This window comes from Homo sapiens, chromosome 15 (assembly GCF_000001405.40).
Source record: "Homo sapiens chromosome 15, GRCh38.p14 Primary Assembly".
NCBI classification, from domain to species: Eukaryota; Metazoa; Chordata; class Mammalia; order Primates; family Hominidae; genus Homo; species Homo sapiens.
In genome coordinates this window covers 94373912-94398276 of record NC_000015.10, presented here as the reverse complement: position 1 = coordinate 94398276, position 24365 = coordinate 94373912, and the positions used below count along the sequence as shown (strand labels likewise).

The window sequence follows — 24365 nt, the reverse complement described above, 5'->3', positions numbered from 1 at the left end:
AATGGTGCTTTACAAGCCAGGAAACAATGCAAATTAAGTAAATAAATCAGCTTAAGGTTGAGGTCAAAATCCAAAAACACTCAAAATGCACAAAGTGCCAACAAATCTTCAAAATAAACAAGTTTCTCTGCTGTCCTCTCTTGGCTGGCATGTTGCATCAGTTCCATACAGTAGTCTACCTGTGGACCCCACATATAAGTTATCTAAGTAAAACATTTTCAGTATGATTTTGGAAACTGATTGGCTCCCATGAAAGACAAGTTAATTAGCTTGATTTCATCATTCTCTTTTCAGATTTGATAGCAGTCATGATTTTACATAGTAGTAGTATATGTAACTGATTAAACTTTGGGCTTTTAAGAAGCATACCTATTAACTCTAAAAGGGCCTCAGCAAAACTCCAGTTAATCAAAAGCTCTATTTGAGATTGTAATGATCAAAAATTTCAATAGCATAGGAAATCTAACAGCATGAAATTTGAGCCATATTTTAAATGACTATTGCTGTCACTACAAGCATTCACACAAGTGTTCTTATAAACAGTGGTAGAAATGAGTTGTATAAGTCATGGGGGGAAACAGCAATTCCACTTTACAAGGGAGAGGTCATCTTCCTTCCCAAAGTCACCCCACCTCTCTCTGATTGAATAGGCTTGATACAGAAGGATGGTCTTCCTGGCCAGCAGCTAAGAGGAAGGGGGTGCCCCATAAAGACCTGGTTTCCTTCCTAAACGGTGTCCAAACAGGATTCTGAGCTTCCGCCTTGATACACAGTCTCACTTAATAAATTGTGGATGTTAAAGTTGAAAGAAATAAATACAAAAACAGCCTGACAATTTGCCAAGCTGACTTGGGTCCAGTTTAGCTTTGCTTCAACGCACAGTCATTGTACTGTTATCTTAAAATTTCCATGATTTCTTAAGGGTTGGCAAAGAATAACAGAAGAACAAGAGGTATCAGAATAAAGAGAAATATTTTATAGCAAAGGGATTTTTTAATTTGGTAAATGACCATTTCCTGTTTCCTAATGTCCCTCACATTGTGTCAGCAAAATCAGAACCCACCTAAGGACATGAAAGCAGGCATCAAAGCCTGAGATAGAATTAAACCCATGCATGTTTGGGACTTAACTATCTTAAAAAATAGAATATAAGTTTAAAAACTGTAAAAAGTTTAAAAATTGCAGAAAAAACTGAAGTCCCTTTGAACTTCCACAAACACCAAATTCCTTCCCCTAAACATAAATTAGACAGGAATTTGGCAGGCATCCTTTCTAAATTTTATTGAGATTTTATATTCATAAAAATAGTCTTGACAGACAAATGTATTTAAAATTCTTTGCCTAAGTGACAAATTGTGTGTATTTTGCAATTTTGTTTTGTATCTATCAATATGACTTGGTAATCTGTTTATATTAGTATCTAGGTCTGGTTCATTTTTTATACTGCTATATAATCTTTAAAAAGTGAATAAACTATAATTTATTCATTCTCCTATTGATGAACATTTAGTTGCTTCCACTTTTCTAGTTTGTCTGCTACAAGGAATATCTTTAGAGAAAAGATAAAAGCTAAAGGAAAGAAGAAATGCTAGTTAGTATTTGGAATATGTTTGGGTTAAGAACAGGTGAACACATTTGAATAGTGTTATAATTAACATTGAGATAGTAACAGAAGAGACTACTTTTAAAAATATTTTCCTCCCTGATTATATAATTGAACTTCTAAAACAAGAATATCAGATAAAAAGTTCTGTATCATCCAACTTGCCAAACTCCTACATGAGAGCATTTATATAATAGATGAAAACCAAACATATATATATACACACACACACAATTCCACGTCTAAACAAAATTTATTATTTATATTTAAAAGTCTGAAAATTATTTCTACATTTATAACCTTAAAGCTTCTATTAAATAATTAAACAGACATAATTAAAAAGAAAATTTAGAGGAGAGAATCTATATATACTTTTCATTAATTTTGAGATCTCCGTCAGCAAAGGCAAAAAGGAAAAATACAGCTTTCAATTTATGACAAAAAGACAAGGCAATTCATTTGGAGAGATTTCCTGAGCTGACATTTGGGAGGACTTCACTTCACTCAAATATGAGTCTTGGATAAAATAATGATGTCTTTAACTTCAGTTTTCCAGGATAAACTCTTCAAATTGACTTACTACACATTTTTGTATACTTGCCTTTTCATGGCCAAATAGTGCATAATATTAGGCAATAAGCTGAAGAAACCATCTATGCAGGACAGTAATAACAGATTTAACTTGAGAATGCAAACACCCCTCATCAGGAAAATTGACACTTTCATGTCCCTTATATTATTTTCAGAAATATATCACAAAGCTTTTATAGAGCATGCTAACAGCTGATCCCTGGTTCAATCGGTCAGTAAATAAAAGTACAAGAAGTCTGTTTCTGAGTAATGATTCAGGACTTTGGAACCAGAGCCAAGTCACTGAAGACAGTCTTGCTGAAAATTTTTAATTTGACCCAGAGTCATGCTTAAGCTATTTAACTTTTTTCTATATAAAAGAATATTAAATATATTTACCAAGCAGTAAGCACAGTAAATATAACCAGTTTTTAGAAGTTGGTTGGTAAAACTAATTTTTGAGTCAAATAAATGGTACACTCATTATATTAAAAAACTAAACTATTTTATAATCAGCATATAACAGAGGTGAGCATGTGAGAACAGAGGAAAAAAACTTCTCATCTTGAACTCTTTTTAAAAAAATTATCATTATTATGCTTTCCTATAAAGATCTTTGATGCAATGAATTGCCAACTCATTCAATAGCAAAGTTCATCAGAATCAATATGAAGGAATAAAACCATCAATGGCTTTAGAGAGGAAAGATACACACTTAAGATCAAAATCCAAACTAAAGGGTCATACTGATTCCCCATTGTTTGACCTTCCAGTTAGAAACTGAGGATGTTGCGTATAAATAGCATTGCTCTTTCAGCCGTTATTCACTCTTATTCACTCTGCATAAAAGGGAAAATAACGTGACAATACCATGACATATTAGTTGGTTCCAGCTGATGCACATGGAAAGTGGCTCTCCAATAAAATGTGACGAGGACAGACATGTGGCTGGGCAAGAGGAAAATCAATACACTTTACTCGGTATCCATTCACATTCTTGTCACCACTTGGAATCAGGCCTTATTCCCATGATGTGAGTTATACAAACAGCACCTAGAGAGAGATCTACTAGGTCACTGTTTGCTGCACAGAAGCTCAGCTACCAGCCAGTAGAGGCAGCATGGAATTCATCACCCTAGACCGCCTCCATTTCTACCTCACTTCTTCCTTTTTGAGACAATCCATTCATCCACTGCCTGAAACCCAAACCAACTATCCCTAAAATATAAGCTGCTCCTACAAAAGCAATATATATTCATTCCAAAAGTTGTGTACAATTTATAAAAAGTGTTTAATAGAAAAAACACAATGTTAATATAACTTTTTTTTTTCTTTCTTTGAGATGGAGTCTCACCCTGTCGCCCAGGCTGGAGTGCAGTGGCGTGATCTTGGTTCACTGCAACCTCTGCCTCCCAGGTTCAAGTGATTCTGCTGCCTCAGCCTCCTGAGTAGCTAGGACTACAGGCACATGCCACCACACCTAGCTAATTTTTTGTATTTTTAGTAGAAACAGGGTTTCACCATGTTAGCCAGGATGGTCTCGATCTCCTGACCTCGTGATCCACCCGCCTCAGCCTCCCAAAGTGCTGTGATTACAGGTGTGAGCCACTGCACCCAGTCACAATGTTAATGTAACATTTTTAAACAAACACTCATATGAAGTTTTTAAGGCATATTCGTATTTGATCATTTCAATTGCTAAAACAATGCAGATGAAAATAATGCCAGCTTACACTATAAGTGCTCACTGTGTGCCGGGGAATGTTGTGCCCACCTCATACTTAACAACTCTGATCTTCACCATACACCTCCAATACAAGCAGAAGGATACTTATCTTCACTTCAGCAACAAAGAAATGCAGACAGATAAGATAAGTTAAGTAATGTTAAAAATCACACAGCCAGTTTAAAGGGGGAGTCAGGGTGTCAACCTAGGTGGTCTGGCTATAGCATTTACATTCTCGACCATCATGATCATAATTGAATAAATCATGAGCCATTCATACGTGTTCAGCTACCACGTTTTTTACATTTTTTTTTTTTTTTTTTTTTTTGAGATGGAGTTCTGCTCTATTGCCCAGGCTGGAGTGCCATGGTGCAGTCTTGGCTCACCACAACCTCCGCCTCCTGAGTTCAAGTGATTGTCCTGCCTCAGCCTCCTGAGTAGCTGGGATTACAGAAGCACGCCACCACGCCCAGCTAATTTTTGTATTTTTAGTAGAGACAAGGTTTCACCATGTTGCCCAGGCTGGCCTCAAACTCCTGACCTCAGGTGATCCACCCACCTTGGCCTCCCAAAGTGCTAGGATTACAGGTGTGAGCCACCGTGACTGGCTGATTTTGACTTCTTTAAGTTTTCTGCTAGGTTGACTTGTATTTTCCTTATTGATTAAAGAAAATGTATATACTGTACTAGTGATATTATCCATTTGTTTAGATACTGCCAGTATTTTTTACCAGTCTATCCTTTGTCTTCAATATCTGATGGCGATTTTTGTTTTGGCCATACTGATATCTTAAGATTTTTTTTCTCTTATTATTCCTGCTTCTCAGTTTACTTACATAGGATTTCCCCACTATTTTGACATTTTTAATGAAGTTTGTTACAAGTGTTTGATCTTTAACTTATCTTGAAATTGTTGTGTTTGCTGTAATACACCGACACATTTTCCCCGATGGTAAGCAACCAAATTACCAGAATTACTTAAGTAGTTTATCATTTCCTCAATGACTTCATCCTTCAAGTTTATTATAAATTAAGTGATTTCCAATTAGTCCTCTCTCAAGCCCTTCAGTACAGTCCTAGAATTTCTTCACATAAATCTTAGACATTATCATTTTTTGTTTTGTTTTGTGTTACAGTCTTGGATTCTTTTTCACTTTTTAAAAATGTTTTCCTGTTGTGTATAGTCACGAATCTTATTTTCATAATGTTGATCTTACTGACATTTTAGTCACTCCAAAATGTTTTCTATGAATTTTCTTTATGTTCATAGATAATACATATTATTATTCAAAGATAATATATTATCAGATAGTATTTGCAAATATTTCCTTTATTAAAATGTGCATAATTTCATATTTGTTACAATTTTGTATTGCTCAAAACGGACATAAAAGGCTTAATTTTTAATTGTTAATTCATAAACATAGAAGCTCATTAGATTTTCCAAACAATCCTATGCAATAGGAACTATTATCAATTTAAAGATGAGAAAATAGAGGGAATAGCTCTATTTTTTCTCCAAGTTTTTTGTTTTTTTTTGTTTGTTTGTTTGTTTGTTTTTTGAGATGAAGTCTCGCTCTGTCACCCAGGCTGGAGTGCAGTGGCGTGATCTTGGCTCACTGCAACCTCCGTCTCCCAGGTTCAGGCGATTCTCCTGCCCCAGCCTCCTGAGTAGCTGGGATTACAGGCGCATGCCACCATGCCCAGCTAATTTTTTTGCATTCTTAGTAGAAAACAGGGTTTCACCATGTTGGTCAGGCTGGTCTCGAACTCCTGACCTTGTGATCCACCTGGCTCGGCCTCCCAAAGTGCTGGGATTACAGGTGTGAGCCACCACACCCAGCCTGTTTCTGATTTTTTAAAATGCTGAATACATAATATATATCATTTGACAATTCTAGTTTTATTATTTTTCCCTGTTTTAATATGCACATATATTTGTATGAAAAGTTATCCCCTTAAAGGTTCATATTTATAATAACCTTACTATTACTATTTTTTTTTTTGAGATGGAGTCTCGCTTGGTCACACAGGCTGGAGTGCAGTGGCATTATCTCTGCTCACTGCAACCTCCGCCACCCGGGTTCACGCCATTCTCCTGCTTCAGCCTCCTGAGTAGCTGGGACTACAGGCACCTGCCTCCACACCCGGCTAATTTTTTGTATTTTTTAGTGGAGACAGGGTTTCACCGGGTTAGCCAGTATAGTCTCGATCTCCTAACCTCGTGATCCGCCCACCTCAGCCTCCCAAAGTGCTGGGATTACAGGCATGAGCCACCGCGCCTGGCCTTATAATAACCTTATTGTTAATTCAATCTTTTTTTTACCCCTAAAACCTGTATCGAGTTTCTGACCTACCTTTTACTTACATTTGTGTAGGATACTTTTGTTCATCCGTTTGTGTATTACTGTGTTTTAGGTGTCTCAAAGAAGCAGCAATTAGATTTTACTCTTTGAATCCATGTAAGAGGTTTTTCCACTTAATAGAAAAGTTGAACTGATTTAACATCTACCACGTGTGATTCACCCAGCTTTCTACTTGCCATCAGGAGACTCCTACAGTCATTCTTTCTCTCTTAGCCTGTCTGTTCTAATCAAACACCTAGACTGTCTACTACATGGGGTTCAGGATCTCTCCAGCATGTTAAAGGTATTCTTTCCTAGTTTCTAGAACCAATAGGAAATTTGCGTTATTTTGTCTTCATTTATTTATTTCAATGGTTACATTGGACCAGGAGTAGACAATGAGAAGAGGTGAAATTTCCGTTCAAAGTGACCATTTTCGCCCCACTTGGGACTCAAGTTTTGTGTTTATCAAATAATTTCCCAGGTGATACATCCCTCTCTCCTTTTCACCTATGCACACTGCCCCTCTACCCTACGGCACCAACTTGACTTACATGGAATTTGCCAACCAAATCTATGCCCTGGAAAACCAAACCTTGGCAACAGATTTACTTTTTTTAAAGCTTAATTATAAATCAATATTATTTACTTTAATGGGCAAAAATTTCTGTATTAACCTAAAACAACCTATGACTGTTCAAGTCCATTTCAAAGCACAAACCCATCACAGGTGAAACTTGGGCAATAGAGTTAATTGAAAATGCAAATGGAGATACACATGGCATTTATTTGGTACAAGCCATTATAGAAAATTTGTCCCAGTAAATCAATTAAGTGAAGCTGTTATTGGTGCAGCCAGCTATCGGGTGTACATGGATTCACCGAGAACACTGGGAATTTAGAAGGACAGTATAAAGACCCATGCTTCTGATTATACAGTCATTTGTGACATTGGCCTGGCTCACACAGAAGGACTCACATCTGATTCAAAATGCAGGTCTTTGGCAGGGCATGGTGGCTCACGCCTGTAATCCCAGCACTTTGGGAGGCTGAGGTGGGCAGAACACCTGAGGTCAGTAGTTTGAGACCAGCCTGGCCAACATGGTGAAACCTTGTCTCTACTAAAAATACAAAAATTAGCCAGGCATGGTGGTGGGTGCCTGTAATCCCAGTTATTCAGGAGACTGAGGCAGGAGAATTGCTTGAGCCTGGGAGGTGGAGGTTGCAGTGAGCCAAGATCAAGCCACTGCACTCCAGCCCAGGCAACAGAGCAAGACTCCATCCCAAAAAAAAAAAAAAAAAAAAAAGAAAAGAAAAGAAATTGCAGGTCTTCATCAAACTGCAGATGACTTCTTATTTGTTATTAGGAAATACCAATATATGCATGCTTTTCCTGTTTTACAGATTACCATGAAAGCTGATTTTCAGTCTTCTGAAATGGGTCCATTGGGTAATTTTGAAAGGGTAAATGTGTGATTCAATAAAAAGGAATGGCCTGGAGAAGAATCCAGCCTGATTTTCAGGACAGAATTAAGATCACTTAATTAAGGATAAAAATATTAAATAAGTCTATTGAGTCAGTGAATTATCAGAAGATCGTGTCTACTGCCTGACATGTTTTAAGACTCTGAAGTGTGCTTAGAGTTTTCCAATGCACACTTATTGTGTTACTGATTAGAAGATTAAAGGAGCAATGTGAAAATGAGCAAATATTAGAAGTCTTCAGATTATAACGCATTCCAATCTCAATTTTCTACTGTTTTTAACCATGAATATTTTATTAAAAAGTATTCTATATCTATATAAAGAACTATTTTTCTGAAAAAGATTGAAGACAAATGAAATATATGGAAGGATAGCCCATTGGCCTGTATTCTTTCAATTATGATAAACATCTAAGTATATATATATATATATACATATATATATATATATATATATACATATATATATATATATATATATATATATATATATATATATGCCTTGAACATTCACCATCAATAATGAATATATTTATATGGATTTTAAATGAGTCAGTAGTCAGCACATTCACCTTGATTAAAAAGATATAGTGAATTTGGAACAGGCTCTTCATTTAACAGGCTTAAATGCACTTAGCACATTACCATTTTGAGTGAGATTAAAAGTTGAAGTATATTCCATACTTTATACTTAGACATTTAAAAATATAGTTTGCATTTTCTCTAAAAGTGTAAATCAAGTTACGGTTTATAACTTGATTAGAGAAAATGAATTCTCAAAAAAATTATTCACATTCCTCTTCAAGAAATACAATTTCTGTTTTTTCTGTTTTTAAACCTAAAATAAGGTATTATTATGGCTCCACTGCCTATAAAGATCAGAGAGAAACACCAACAAATCAATTTTTATGATTCTTGCTCACGTTAAAAAACAAAACAAAACAAAAAAACAGAGAAACAAGTCCTTCTCCTAAAGAAGCACACAATATGAAATCTAAGGGTGTCCTTTGATGCTTAATTCTCAGAATTTGAACCAAGTCTTCTGGGAAGAGTCTTCTCTCTCACTAATTTGCTTCATACTAGAGCCGAAACTTTCTTCCTAGTCAACTGCTCCAATATCTCTACCTCCAGGTCAAAAATCTTCAGTGGCTCCCTGCTAAAACAGTAACCGAGACCTCCCTCAACCTTTCCTGGGCTGCCCTCAGTGTGTCCCACTTCCCCTCCATGCCCACCCTGAGCTCCCAGAAGCCAGGCCCCTCCTCATTCCCAGACACGGCCTTTCCCCTACACCTCTGCTCCCCTCATTCCTGGACCCTCTGTTTGGAATGTCCTTCATTCTTCACTTCACCTGCCACACACTATCAACACGCCACTCACCCCTGACCCAGCTCAAACTCCCTACACTTCCTAAGTCTTCCTAAACTTAAACCCATCCGTCCTACTTCCCACTGCCCTTTCTCGTTCCTGTGAGACTTATATGTTTATTTGGGTCTTACGTGTTTATTGCACAGGTGCCTTCCTGCAAGTTACCCAACTCTTCAAGTCTGTGTCCCTCCTGCCACCCCCCAACCCCGACCCTGACGGCACATAGCACAGTGGTTACACAAAATAGCCTCTTGATTCTTGCTTTGGAGATGATATATACTTAATAATTACTCACTGTGGCAATATAACAAACTCTTAGGAGCTCAGGCTTTAGTATGAGACCACCTAAATTCAAATCCTGTCTCTATTACTTACTAGCTACAGGATCCTTTCGGTGCTTCAGTATCCTTATTTGTAAATGGGCATAATAATAAAGGCTGCCTCATCCAGTCCTTAGAGAACTGATGGTTCAGCACATGCCAAGTGTAAGGCACAGAACTTGCTAGTTCACTATTCTATTGTAAGCATCACTCAAGAGAGATTAAAGAAAAAAAAACTAGATCTAAATAAGTAGGTTAAAACACATCCTCTAAATCACAAGTTAGAATTATTTGAAAATAGAATGATCCATGAAACAACTTACAGCTTATACTTTGCCAGTTAAATTGAGGGTTACAGCAATTTTAAGATCATATTTATATCTAATATTAGATAGAGAATCAATTCATTTGGAGAGGGAATGTTGCAGGTGGACCACTGAATTTCAGGGAGAGCCCACACAGATGCACTAGAAGATATGATCACTTCCCCAATTTATCAGTCAGGAATTGGAAATGAATCTGGATTGAAACAGAGTGAACAGCAGCAGCCGAAGCATCTTACTGAGTGCACCATGCCAGGGTCCCCCGAAGTCCCTGAAAGGAATGGCCCAGGCTGTGCTATTTTACAAGGTAGAGACCTTGCAGATCAGGGGTTATTCCTGGATGTACACAGCACTTTTATATTAGAAACAAACACATAATGTGGAACAAATCAAGCACTTCCTGGCCTGAAACTCTTCGTGGTTTCCCATCCCCCACGATGAAAATGCCAAAGTACTTCAACCTTTTTCACTTTCACATCCTCCAGGGTCCTCTCCAGCTCCACCCTACCTCTGTGTCCTTTCCTGTTCGCCACAGGCACACTTGATCAATCTATACTGGCTGCCCGGCCATTGCTGGAATTTGACAGTCAAGGTCCTGCCTCACAGCCCTTGAACTTGAGAATTTCCTGCCTGGGAGGGATTTCTCAGATATCCACATGGCTCTCTCCCTCACCTCCTTACGTTCCCACTCAAATGCCCCTTTTTCCATGAGGCCCTCCCTGGCTAGCAGCTGGAAAAAAGTGCCCTTCCCCACACATATTCCCAGCAACCCTCTCCCTCTTTACTTTTCACCATCTAACATTCTGTATATTGCTTTTGTTTTGTTTATGCATTGTTTCCTGCTACTATAACAAAAGCTCCAAGAGAGGAGGGAGCCTCCCTCTGGTCATTGTTAGAGCTCTATCACCTAAAGCACTGCCTGGCACCAAGTGGACACTTGATGAATATTTGTGGAACAAACGAATGAACAACAGATCATAAGGCAGCTTATGACCAATCTGAAAAAAGTCCCAATCGAGGACTCCTTGCATTTAAGCCAGGTCATTCCTGAGACATTCTACCTTGTATTTTGAAAGATATGTTTTGAAAAATGCATTAGTTTAGGTCAGCGGTTCTTGACTGGAAGTGATCTCTACCCCCTCAGAATATCTGGCAACATCCACATACATATTTGGCTGTCACAGCAGGGATGTGGGCAGGCGTTACTGTTATCTAGTGTGTAGAGGTCAGGGAGACGGCTGGACATGCTACGATGCACAGGGCAGCTCCATATGACAAAGAATGTCCTGGCCCCAAATATCAATAGTGCCAAGACTGAGAAACCCTGATTAAGCTGGAGGTAACTTCTTAGATCTTCTAGGGAAGGAAGGAGAGAGGGAGGAAGGAAAGGAGGAAGGGGGGAAGGAGGAAGGAGGAAGGAGGAAGGGAGGAGAGGAAGGAGAGAAAAAGGAAGAACCAGTAACCTATGCTAATGCTTTTCACAAACCAGATCCTTCAAAATACGAGGTAGAATGTTTTGGGAAAGCCTACTTTAAATGCCAGCCACCACACACTTTGACTTTTTTTTAGGTTGGCTACAAGGAGGGAAGAAGAGAAAGACAGAATCGGGTAAGGGTTTGGGGAAAGGAAGGCAGGCAGGCGAGCTAAGTCAGTTGTTGGTAGTACAGAAAGACCAAACACACAAAACTTTTAGGTACAAAACAGAGGGGAGTTGTTTTGTTTTGTTTTGTTTTGTTTTTAAGTCATGTTCACCAAGCAAGGAATAAAAAAAGTGAAATGAGAAAACTGTCAAGGAGAGTCTTTGCTTTGAGTCCCCCAGACCTCTCTAAAGTGTCCCCCACATTCTGGTTACATGTATTCTCATGGGAATAACTGACAAAGTTGTAATGAAAAAAAAAGGGGGGGAAATCCCAAATTGCCATCTCCTCTCTGAGAGCTGCTCGGCTGGTGCCGATGGCTCAGAGCATGTGGCAGGAGCCAGCCGTACCAGGGAGCAGATGCTGCAGACAGGCTCTCCGAGTAACATCAGGGATATGAGAACTCGGGGAGAAATTATCCAAGTGCACAAACACAGAAGAAAAGATAGTAAGAAGTACGGCATTCCTCCCTCTGTAAACATCAAGTGAGTTAGGCTAATCTCATGGTTAAATTACGGAGTGCTCCATCCACAAAAATCCACAGATAGCTTGGAAAAAATAAGTCTTTGGGAAGAATAAAGTCTCATTGGCTGATAAAGCCATAATAAGCCTAAAACAAACTGTGTTAATGGTTGGATGAAAAACTGGAATTCTCTCTTCTCAAAGAGTATGTTTGGTACATATATCACTGTCTAATTAAGAGATGAATTCACTCCCCAGCTTCCCCCCGACCCATGTAAAGGCATTCTTTGGTGCTTTCTCTTCTGAATTTTGTAAGTATTTTTTCCTTCACGGACCCTGGTGCATTATCTTATAGCTGGACTGCGAAAACTCTTTTCCTTCTCCAAGAAAGGCCCTCTGCTTTCTTCCACAAAGCATTTTTAAATTTTGAGACCAAAAGCAAACATGACTGCTAAAAAGACAAATAGAACTTTTGGGAAAATGGTCTTTAAAAGAATTGAGAACAAATGTGCAGTTACCAACAATTAATCTTTGAAGAAATGTACAGTAAGGAGCTATAAAGAAATACATGTGTGTTTTTCATTAATAAATAGAAAATCAGTCATTCATCTATATTCCTTGTAACCAAAGACAAATTCCTATCTTAAGTTGGGAAGACTGAAAATGAATTGAAAAACTGGTCAAAATGTTTTGGTTGGTTACGTCAATATTGGACTGAAACAGAAAAAAATTACATCCCTTTATATCTGAAACTACTGAAAATACCGGAAAAGAATGAGGAATAAAACAGTCGTTTCCTGCTATAGTTAGGAGGATTTTTTTCCCCCAGGTTGACAAAGATAAAGCAACTCTAGACCATAGAAACTCATCAACTATAAAATGACTCACAAATTGTTTATTAATAAAGGAAACTTACGGACAGCAAGGGAATGGCAACTTTTCCAAGAAAATCTGGGGGTTTATCTCCATCTTCATCAAACACTGTCACTTCCAAAACATCATGGATATCTTTAATGGGACTGTAACAAAAATACCATGTATTATACACAAAAACACACAAGTGAAGTCTGTTCCATGAAGATCTGGAAACACTGTTTCACTAATTAAGTCTGTATGTCCTTAGAGTATAAACCTACCATTTAATTAAATTCCAAAAATTAAATCAAACTGACTGTATTCCCAAACCTTCCATCATAGAAGATTCAGACATCCATATGAAAAAAAGAAGTCAACTTTTTTACTATGACATTTTTCAAACAGTATACCTGCACTCAAGGGTAGGACTTTCAAAGAAACAAAATAAAGAAGGAGATAGGGAGAAAGCATTAGCAGAGTGTCCAACCAAAGTAATTTTTAAAAAGCTTCCAAATGAAAGGAGTTAACATTTTTTAAAATTAAGAATTACCTTTAAAATAAAATGGTGGTGAAAAATCACTATTTCCTGAAATGCTTAGAAACCCTCTGTTGTTGAAACACAAAATACTAAAAATATACATATTTTAATATTGACCAGAAGCCAGATACCAGGGACAATGAAAAATGGAGCCATGGCCATTGGCAACGTGTTAGGGAAACAAGAGACTCTTATATCTGGCCATTGGCAAAAGTGTTTAGCAGAGTTAATCCACTTTTCATAGATCCTTGGGAACTTTCTGCTAATAGCATTAACTCTACTCAAAATGAACTTTATTTTTTCACTTATAAGCACAGACAGAGCATTGATTTAGCTTCGTAGGGACAGTATGTCACCATTTTACCCAAATTCAACAGGGCCTCCCCTCAATGTTCAGGTGCCTTGAAATCTGAAGCAAACTAAGATCTTAAATCTATCCAGCCTCCTAAATGCCCAGGTTTGATAGTGTGGGCAGAGAATCACTATGGGATGGGTCGCTCAGATAAACTGGAATATAAGGAGCCTTTGGGGGTCTCTAAGGAGTCACAGATAATCTGTATTTTCCTAAAGATTTTGGCAGATCTTAGAACACATAAGATCACTGAATTTAAGGCAGGTCTCCATTTCCTTAACCCACGAATGAATTAACCTAGAAATATGGAAGCTTCCATTTATTCATAGATTAATTTAGTCACTAAAAGATCTACTTTACAAATGCCTCCTATAAAAGTCCCTTGCAGTTCCAAATGGTCTCTTCTATTATTAACACCACACTCTATAAAAATGAAAGGATACAAGGTTTTCAAAAGAAAAAAACAATAAAATTTACTCTTTGCCCATAAAAATGGACAGAAAATTCCACTCAAGAGCCCCAGACTACCTTCCAAGCACAGCAGAAATAATTCCAGAGGCTAAAGCACTTACAATGTAAAAACTTTGTTCCATTCAGGGTTGAGGTTTTTGTAGACGGTATGCGTCTGAAGTCGGTCATTGCCTAACTCCAACAAGCAAAATGGGTCACTCTTCCCTGGAAAGATAACATACACATCGGTCAAAGACAAGTGAATCTCGAAAGGGACAAGGGCAATGTGAACAAGAGTCAGATAAAGTTGTGCTTGCTGAAAGAGGGAAGGCAAGACTGCTTTTCCAATGAGTCATGGAGGCCCTGTGTGGGAATCCAGGAGACAGGCAGAGGCTACAAGTGTTGTACCTTTAGCAATACTCAACGGGTTAGAACAAACACACCGCCTGATACGGTCTGGTTGTGTCCCCACCCAAATATCATCTTGAATTGTAGCTCCCATAATTCCCATGTGTCGTGGGAAGGACCTGGTGGGAGATAATTGAATCATGGGGGCGGTTTCCCCCATACTGTTCTCATGGTAGAGAATAAGTCTCATGAGATCTGATGGTTTTATAAGTGGTTTTTCTTTCACTTGGCTCTCATTCTCTTTTGCCTGATGCCGTGTAAGACGTGACTCGCCTTCTGCTACGATTGTGAGGCCTCCCCAGCCACGTGGAACTGTGAGTCCATTAACCCTCTTTTATAAATTACCCAGCCTCAGGTATGTATTTATCAGCAACGTGAAAAGAGACTAACACACCACCCAAGACCAGGCCTTGAAAGCCAGCGGCCACACATACACATTTCACAGGAGTGGGAATCCATTTGGCATGAGAGCCCATTTCTTTGTTTTTAAAATGAAGTTCATCTCTGTTTCCTTCCTAAATTCTAAGTCAATCTGCATAATTACTATTCTATAACTGGAAACCTGTAACTTACAGGCTTCTACATGGCTGTAAGAGGAAGTGAGAAAAAGTGTAAAAATGGCTCTTTAGGAGTTAAGCTCTGCTCCTGAGCAAATGGTCACAAACACTCATGATCCTGTATACTCAGTACGTTATGAGAATACACGAGCTACATTTCTGGTGTCATAAAACAAACAAAAAAAGTATAACTCAATAAAGGTCAGAGTTTTTAACTTAACAAAAAAAAATTAAGCTCATCTTTCACTTCTCACCTCTCCTCTTTCTACGCTATCTCCCATATTTGCACACCAAAAAACCTAAGAAATTTCCAGATCCAAAGTTAGACCTACAGTGTTACCAAGCAAAAAACTCACTTCCCTTTTGCTGTGTTTGGCGGAAGGATCTGGATTTGGAACTGTCAGGGAAAGAACGAATGGCTCCGTAATGTCCGTAGGACATTAACGCATTGCCGGCGTCTGCAGCACACTGGCACTTTACAAAGCAGCGCTTGCTAAATTAATTGGGGGCACAAGGACAGACGCTGTTCCAACAAATGGCCAAGGAGTCCCAGGCCAGGGCCTAAGCCAGAGAGTGCTCAGGCCTCTTGACCTGCTGGCCTACCATTCGGGTCACTGAACCTCCATCTAATTCGCTTAATAACCAGGCGCTCTGAGGTACAGCACATCAATAGAGATACTGATACTTGCAGGAGCCTGTATGAAGATTATTGTTTAAAAAGGGAGGAGGAGAAGAGCAGACGCATGGGCGATGAATAGTATTAAACAGGAGATTCCACTCAACTGACTAGTGGCCTGGACACTTAGATTCCTCGCCAAAGCTTTTAAGTCAATGCTACTATTTCAGTTGCCAGTAGACAATGATCAAGCCACAGACATAAAGGAAGGAGTGAGGGTTTTCAATTGCAAACAATGGAAATGGTCCCTGTCTACATATAGCGGAAAAGAAATTTATTAAAATAATATCAAACAGCATTCAGAATTCCTACAAAGGCTGGAGAATCGGGCTAAAAAATATCACTATAAACCAAAGAATACTTAAGCACAAGAAACTCAGCCCATATCTCATACCAGGAAAAGTCTGTTGTGGCCTCTGCTTCCCCAGAATATTGCCCTCACAATTCACTTCCAATATGAATTCTCTACTCCTGCTTCTTTGCCTCACTCAAGACCGATGCAAGGGCCTCCGGGGCCTGTCTTACACAGCCAAGTACCCAGGCCTGAAAGGCCAGAACTCATAAAGGGAATACTGACTTTGTAGCTTCTGTGAATGAAAGTGGGCTCTGACCTCTTCTTCAAAATATACAATGGGAAATGATTCAAACACGGAAGGGATTTTAGATGCTGGGGAGTCAAAATCAAACTAACATAAAAATCCATCTGCACCCACAAAAAGTCTTATTTATTTAAAGACAGTTTACGCTGGCCATGTGGTTTGCAGGGGAAGAGGCTGGAGTTAGCTGGGGAAAAGCCTACCAACATAGAACAACACCATTTCCTCTTCAGCAACTGTGAACAAGAAGAGACCACATACTTTTGGCTTAATGCTCAGGTATACCATGCTTGATTTCTCCACCCAGGCTGAAACAGCTACTTAACCGTTTGTCAGACTATTAGTAGGTGTCAGCGCTGCTCCTCCAGAGACGCCAGCATGACACGCCATCAGCAGTTGCTCCAGGGAAACCGTCTGACACTTTTAATGAAAACCCTGGGGTTACTCCACAGCAGGGCAGAGATGCTGCCTGGTCCTGTTGAGGCACAGGTGGGCTCGTTCTGTGGCTCCCGCTCTCTCAAGCAAGCACGCTCTTAGCTGTCCCAGCTAATGAGGAACAGACTTTCCTCCAGAAACCAGGAACTTCAGTTATGTGTCTCCAAGGAACACATTGTACCAACTCTCTGAAGATAATTCAGTCAAAGCTCATTAAAATGCTGCATTTATTAATTTTACAGTATAAACAGAGAGAAGCAAGAAGAAACAAAGACATTAAAATATTTATAGAATAATTTATGCACATTTTATGGATTGATTTCTCTTAAAAAGTTTCAGATATATGGGGACTTTGAGTAAAATTTCAATAACAAATATTCTTATTTGAGATAACAAGTATCTCTCATAATAAATGAAATGTCCAAATGCTCACCAATGGTACTGAGAGAAAAGGACAAGGGAGACTGACATACATACATTTGAGGCCGTGCTTTTCCTCTTTGTACCACCCATTTCACAGGAATAACATCTAGAAGACCTCCTCTGTGTCCAGAAGCCACATCACCTTGACACATTTATGCCACTGACAATTCAGTTTCACATTGAGGTTTAGCACTTTGCACTCAATAGCCTTTGCTATTTTCCAACATTGCTTTAAAATTTATTTGTATTTCTTGAATGGCAAGTAAGGGGGGGGTTCACTTAAACAGTTTTACCTTTGTATCAATTATAGAAGCTGAATGACAAATAATAAATGTGTTACAATTGTCATATCATTCATTTGATAACCCCCCCTTTTTTTTTTTTGAGACGGAGTCTCACTCTGTTGCCTAGGCTAGAGTGAAGTGGTGTGATTTTGGTTCACTGCAGCCTCTGCCTCCTGGGTTCCAGCAATTCTCCCTCCTCAGCCTCTCAGGTAGCTGGGATTATAGGCACGTGCCACCACGCCCAGCTAATTTTTGTATTTTTAGTGGAGACAGGGTTTCACCATGTTGGCCAGGCTGGTCTCAAATTCCTGACCTCATGTGATCCACCCACCTCAGCCTCCCAAAGTGCTGGGATTACAGGCATGAGCCACCATGCCCAGCCCATTTGATAACCGTTTATTAAGCATATAGCTTAATAAATGTTCCTAGCACTAAACTGACCCTGAAATACAATGACCACCTAAGCAATTATCTGCAAGGGACTCTCATAATGGTCTCTGCTATTCTGAAAATGCTGCCCCTTCCAAGAAAAGATTCCTCATTCTCATCCCACAGCAAACTGAGTTGTTTCCATTTCAGATCTCCAATTGTATATTGCTGTTACTACTCTTATATCCCACATTTGTAAATTTCCACTCCACAGTCAGCATGCATATTCACTTAAGGGTCCTGATGCAGGCACACCCAATATATGTATGCTCTTACCATCCCCCAAGAACAGTGCTACGGCCTAGGGACAGAGGGCAGCAGTGAAATGCAGACGAGAGCATGAAAGTTCAGAGAAATGTAATTCAGTTCAGAAAAGTTCAGAAAGATTTCTTAGTGGAGGCGATTCTTAATTGAGGTTTACAAGGGAAGTGTTTGATGAGCAGAAATGGATAAGTCCTTCTTGTGGAGACGGGACAGGTCAAAGCATCAAATTTATTAGGAGGATATATATATTATATATATTATATTATACATTATATATCATATATATTATATATAAGTATAGATTATATGTCATATATTATATATATATCATATATAATTATATGTCATATATAATTATGTCATATAATTATATATTACATATCATATATAATTATATATTACATATCATATATTATATATATTATATATCATATATTATATTACACATTATATATTATATATCATATATATGATATTTACATTTTGTATATATATGAGAGAGAGAGGCAAATAGCGATAATCAGGTAATGTAAGATACAGGTGGATAGGTACTAAGATTGGCTTGAAGACCATGACCAGTAGTTTTCATTTCATTCTACTCATCCAGGAGCCAGGAACCACCCTAGACTGTCAATACAATACAAGGGGTAGAGTTGGAAGAAAGCACTTCTGGACCAACACAATTCCTGAAACTAAATATGGAGCATTTTAGCTCAGAGAGGCTTGGGGGACGTGGGAGGACAGCAGAGCCATTCCAGATGAAAATTTCTAAAACTCTATTTTCATGTCTTATTTCCAACCATTTGTTTACAAACCTTACTATCAGATATTGGAGCACATTTTAATTGATCAGTTCTGGAAATCTATATTTTCTCTCTGTTTACCCCACATAACCCATCCTTATCTACCCACTGTTCACCAACTCTTCAGCAAGGTTGGTGTCTCTTTCCTCCACTCCTAACTTCACTAGGCTGCCCTATCCGGTCCTGCACACAGAGTAACAGGGCTCATTTCTGCTTCCTACTTTGCACGGGGAATAGGTTGTCCCTCTGTGCCCTTCCAATCTCCTTGCTCTCCAAAAAAGGAAAACATTAAAAAAAAAAACAAAAAACAAAAAACTAACTTCTCAGGCCTAGTTTAACCTTGCCTTCTTTGTGGCACTTTCTCTGCAACCTCCAGGGAGACCCCAGACTCCTATGATAATGAGTTTGGACATTATAATGCCTGCTGTATGATGTACCTGTTCATATATTCAACAACTGCTTAATGATCCTCAGAATGTGCAAAGCACTGTGCTAGGAGCTGAGGGGGCCTTTAAAAGAAAATGAAATGTTGATCTCTGTTCTTCTAGGCCTAACTTTTCATGTACGTCCAGCCTTTCCAGATGGGTCCTGGCCTTCTCTAGGACAAATAATGACTTCCTCAGCATCACACAGGCAAAGACCTGCTCACCTTGCTGTGACAGATGTCTAGAACAAGGGGCAGACAGGTCCATACTAGGACTGCAAGAACAGTAAAGGAAAAATAGGACTTCACCTTGCTAAAATGTTATTTATCTTAATTTCTGATAATCCTATATTCTAACACCTAGAGCAAACAAGATGAGTGACATAAGAAAGTTTCCTTTTTATTTGTATTTTTTAAATACAGACAAGGTCTCACTCTGTCACCCAGGTTGGAGTGCAATGGTGCAATCATAGCTCATGGTACTGTAACTTTGAATTCCTGGGCTCAAGCAATCCTCCTGCCTCAGCCTCTATGACTAGCTAGGACTACAAGGACATGCCACCATACCTGGTTAATTTTTTTTTTTTTGGTAGACATCAGGTTTCATCATGTTGACCAGTCTGGTCTGGAACCCCTGGGCTCAAGCAATCCTCCCTCCTTGTCCTCTTAAAGTGTTGAAATTATGGGTGCGAGTCACTGCGCTTGGCCCTAAATATTTTCTTCTTCTACCTCCACTTCCCTGCTACTTCTCAAGCCCCTCAACAATATCATCATTCACTGATCTTGTCTAACATCTTCCCATTTTCATTCTCCTCTCAAAATCCTTGCTCCTCACAGCTGCCAGAATAAACTTTTGTTAGTTTATATCGGATCATATCATTCCCTTAATAGTTTTCCAAATTTCTTCACCTGGCCCAGAAGCTCCTATGTCATCCAGTCCCACCTAAGACATGAACATCCTCTCCCCTGAGAGGTTTCTTTTGCTTTCTGTCTTCTCGTCCTGCTTGCTTTCTTCCAGACCTCTGAAAAAGCTGGGCGGGCCCTGGAACATTGCTGTTTCCTCATTTTCAAGTGCCTTTCCTTCTTCTCTGCGGTGCCAACTCTCTCTCATGTCTCTATTTGACATCGCTGCTAGAACATCACTTCCTGCGGTATCTGCAGTCAGGCATCCCTTCCATAAGAATTAACACCACGTTCTTGACCTTAGCAGTAATTGAAATTAGACAGTCACTGGTTAAATCAGTCACTTCACATGAGGTCAGGGACCAATTCCTCCTTTCTACCATATCACCAGGAAAAATCATAAGGCATCACAGAGAATAGAAAAGGTATATTTGCTAAATAAATTTAAACGTTACTAAGAACCCACCCATTAATATGGAAGCGATTCCTCTGTTAATTCATGGAATGTCACAAATGAGCTGAATTCATTCACCCTCACGGTGCCTCTAAGTTATAAACCACTAAGTCATCCATATACTCCCAAACTTTGCAATGGCTACAGTCCATGTTCTCTGGAAGGCAGTTGAAGCAGACGGCCTGCCAGAGGCAGATTTATGTAGTTTTTAATGTGTTTTTCAAAAGTTGGTCTTGATTTGGGCTTAGCTATCCATGAAGATCTCTTGAAAATTAAAAACGTTCAATCACGACTACTGAGCTTTCTAGAAACTGCAATTATAGCCATCCCTTTGAAAATAGGGCATCTTTAAGAGACGAAGTATTGCTATGGATACAGCTTCAAGAGACAGACAATTAAATGAAACCATAATATGGGCATGTGGTTGAAAACTCAGTGAACAATAACCATGAGACTATTCCTCTTCTGACACAAGCAGTCTTAACGTTTCAAAACAAAAACAGCAATATAAAAAAACTTGTAGTCACTATTATAATTTCCAGAAACAACTCAAAAGTCAGTATCATAGTACAAGGCAGAAACATTTTTACTCTATAATGTGGGGTCTAAGTGCCCTATTTTGGTCAACAGTTTGACAATAGCACTTTTTTGTATAACAACAACAACAAAAAGATGAACACGCCAAGCTATTTTATACTAATAAAACTATTATCCACATTATCAAAATGTAAAATTCAAGCACAAAAGTAGTTCAGTATGAGAATTTCTCTACCATGAAGCATATTTTTTTGCCTTCTTTTTAAGCACTCAATAGAAATAGAAACAAAAAGAAACATCTTAGAGTGGTAACTAGATTTCTAAAAGTGGCTGAAGAGATAAAAGTGGTTATCAGCTTATATGTCTAACATGATCTAAAATTAGGGAAATTATAAACAATATGTGAACAAAACAACCTATACAGTTCTTCACGTATCAAATATACTCTAATAAAATGCATTTAATAAGGAATGGGAAATACATTTATTAAGCACAAAATATATATCAGGCACGTTCATTTAGGATTTGATTTAACCCTTAAAATACCCATGAGGACATGGAGGCTTAGAGGGAGCCTAAGGCCAGTATGTGGGAGAACTGAGATTAACACATGGGTCTCTGCTTCTGTATATCTCCCATGTCATTAGACATAGGGATTAAAATGAGAGACAGCTATCATACAAACAAAAGGCAAAAACATGGGCACTAATTTTTATCTTCAGTGAATAAATCATTGAACTGGACACTGGTTTAGTTAAGGCTGAATCCAGGGCCCATGGAAAAGGCTCATGCACTTACCCAAGGAATGGAATATTTTACTGCAGTTACGGCTCAAATCTGTGTGGGGGACAGACCAAGAGCTCCTCCTAATGGCATAGCCAAGGAACCAGTGAACTGGAAATGCAACCCCCTGATTTTGAAGAAGGTCTCCATCTGTTTCAAAGGTACACACCACCTCCTACACCTCATGTCCTGCAGTAGAGGAGTGAAGGCAGAGTGAAGATTGAGCCTTCTCTTAGGGATCACAAGCTCCCTAAGGGTGTGTCTGTTAACCAAGTGTGGTGCTCAATGAATATCTGTGGTCGATTACCAGAACTGCCCCCAAGCTGACTTTCCTGAAGTTGAGAAATACTTAAAAAGTGGTCGAGGAAGCTATATTGGGTTCTCTGGAAAGAAACAGTGGTTCTGTAATTAAATGTATCTTTATTCTCCTGGATCAGGCAATTGTTATGGTCCCCTAACATGCCTATTTATCAAATAAGGATACTTTATAATAACCTAGATTTCTCGTCTGGAAACATATTTATTTTTCCTCTGATAGATATTTTGAGATTATGCTAATTTGGGAGTTATTTCCTTTATTAACAACGGAAAGAGAAAAGGGTCCAAGTGACACCTTTATTACCAAGATATCAAGAGGATCCAGATATATTTTGGAAACTTTTCATGATTGATGGCTGGGTTTTATTTGTTTGTTTGTTTGTTTTTAATGGCAAAGGGTGCCAAAAAGTCTCAAGGGTGAAATAAAAATCCCCAGGAGAATTCTGGAAGGCAAGCAACTCCAAATTGTGAGTCAAGATGATATTTCCAGTTTTGTCCCTCCATTGCCTCCTGATAATTCCCTAGCTTCTCTTCATAACATATAGACTATTAGAATAATGGAAACATGAAAAATGAAGATGAGTGATATGGTTTGGATCTATGTCCCTACCCAAATCTCAGGTCCAGGTGTAATCCCCAATGGTGGAGGTGGGGCCCAGCAGGAGGTGATTAGATCACAGGTGTGGATCCTTCATGAATGGTTTAGCGCTATCCTCTTGGTGCTATCTCCTGATAGAGTTCTCAAGAGATCTGGTTATTTAAAAGTGTGTAGCATCCCCTATCCATTGGTCCTGCTCCTGCCATGTAAGACTCCTGCTCCACTGCTCTTGCTTTGCCTTCCATCAAGAGTAAAAGCTCCCTGAGACTTCCCAAGAAGCAGAAGCTGTCATGCTTCTTGTACGGCCTGCAGAACCATGAGCCAATTAAACCTCTTGTTTTATAAATAATCCAGTCACAGGAATTTCTTTATGGCAATGTGAAAACGGATTGAACAATGGGATTGTGCTATAAAAAGAGAGGATATTGAAGCCTATACTGCATTTTCTGTTGTGCTGTTATGTCACTTCATATCCTCCCCCACCGAGCTAGGCGTGGAGGGCTGCTCTGATTGCTTTGTTGCTACTCTTGGCATGGTGAGTTAAAGTAAACTCCCCTAAGTTTCCAGTTCCCCTATTATGTAGGATTCTGAGTGGGTAAGGGGCATCCTGGGAGGAACAGGGTAAGGGCCATGAGTGTGAAACAGAGGGAGACTGAAGAATGGCCTCTTGCCTTTGGAACATCCTTTATGGGGAAGGAAGTCTCTTACAATAATTATTTTAGAGAATAAAACTAATAAAGAGAAAGCTTAAGTAACAGGAAGGTAGCTATATGAACCCACTTTTTGATTCTAAGAATGCTAAGGAAGAATCACTGATTTGGTGTGGAATCTTGGCATATGCATCATGCCAGTGGTGGCCATGATGGTTTCAATTCCTAGTGCTGAATTAACCCCAACACATTACAATCCTGGCAGCTTCTCAGCAGCATACTGTCAACTATAATAAGGCTATCCTGAATAATCTGCACACATGTGCTGAGCAAACCAATATAGTTTCCTACTCTTCATTGGCTGATCTCTCTCAATGGGTAACATAGGTGTTGTCATGTGTACTGAAAGGTAACATAATCTGGACTGAAAAACATTTCAATTCTCTAACAATTTTCCCATTAACCCATTGTTTACTATATTCTCTTTTTACAGTTTATGAGATTAACTTTGTATTTTCTTTCGACAGTATTAATTTATGATCAGATGTGCCCCTGGGCAGCATATACCACAATTTTCTGTCTGGGCCTCTACTGTAGGTATGAAACCTGCTATACTGTCCATTTCTCAGCATTGTCCAGAATAAAATGTTTCTCTTTTTCAGTTAATCATTAGAACGCGAGTTGTTTTCTTCTTAAAATACCTGCATTTTAAGACTAGCAGTAGCTGAGTGAAGTATGTTGGTCTTGTCAAACACTACACACAGCTATTCACCTTGAGCCTCCAAGTACAATT

General features: G+C 38.8%; 1 protein-coding gene across 28 annotated transcripts in view; it reads right to left on the bottom strand.

Moving 5' to 3' along the window:
- The window catches only part of MCTP2 (multiple C2 and transmembrane domain containing 2), a 252587-nt gene that overhangs the window by 85676 nt on the left and 142546 nt on the right, over window positions 1-24365 (bottom strand). For 26 of the 28 annotated variants that reach the window (NR_169532.1, NR_169530.1, NR_169528.1 and 23 more), the window contains 2 exons: window positions 14153-14255; window positions 12752-12854 (listed from right to left, as the gene is read on the bottom strand). Coding sequence is in view for 21 of the 28 variants with exons in the window: in XM_047432839.1 (XP_047288795.1) it covers window positions 12752-12854; window positions 14153-14255 (206 nt within the window). In the remaining 7 variants the exon portion in view is untranslated. Of the gene's footprint in view, window positions 1-12751; window positions 12855-14152; window positions 14256-20238; window positions 20532-24365 lie in introns of all 28 variants that reach the window. The other 2 variants (NR_169529.1, NR_169527.1) reach the window with 1 other exon arrangement.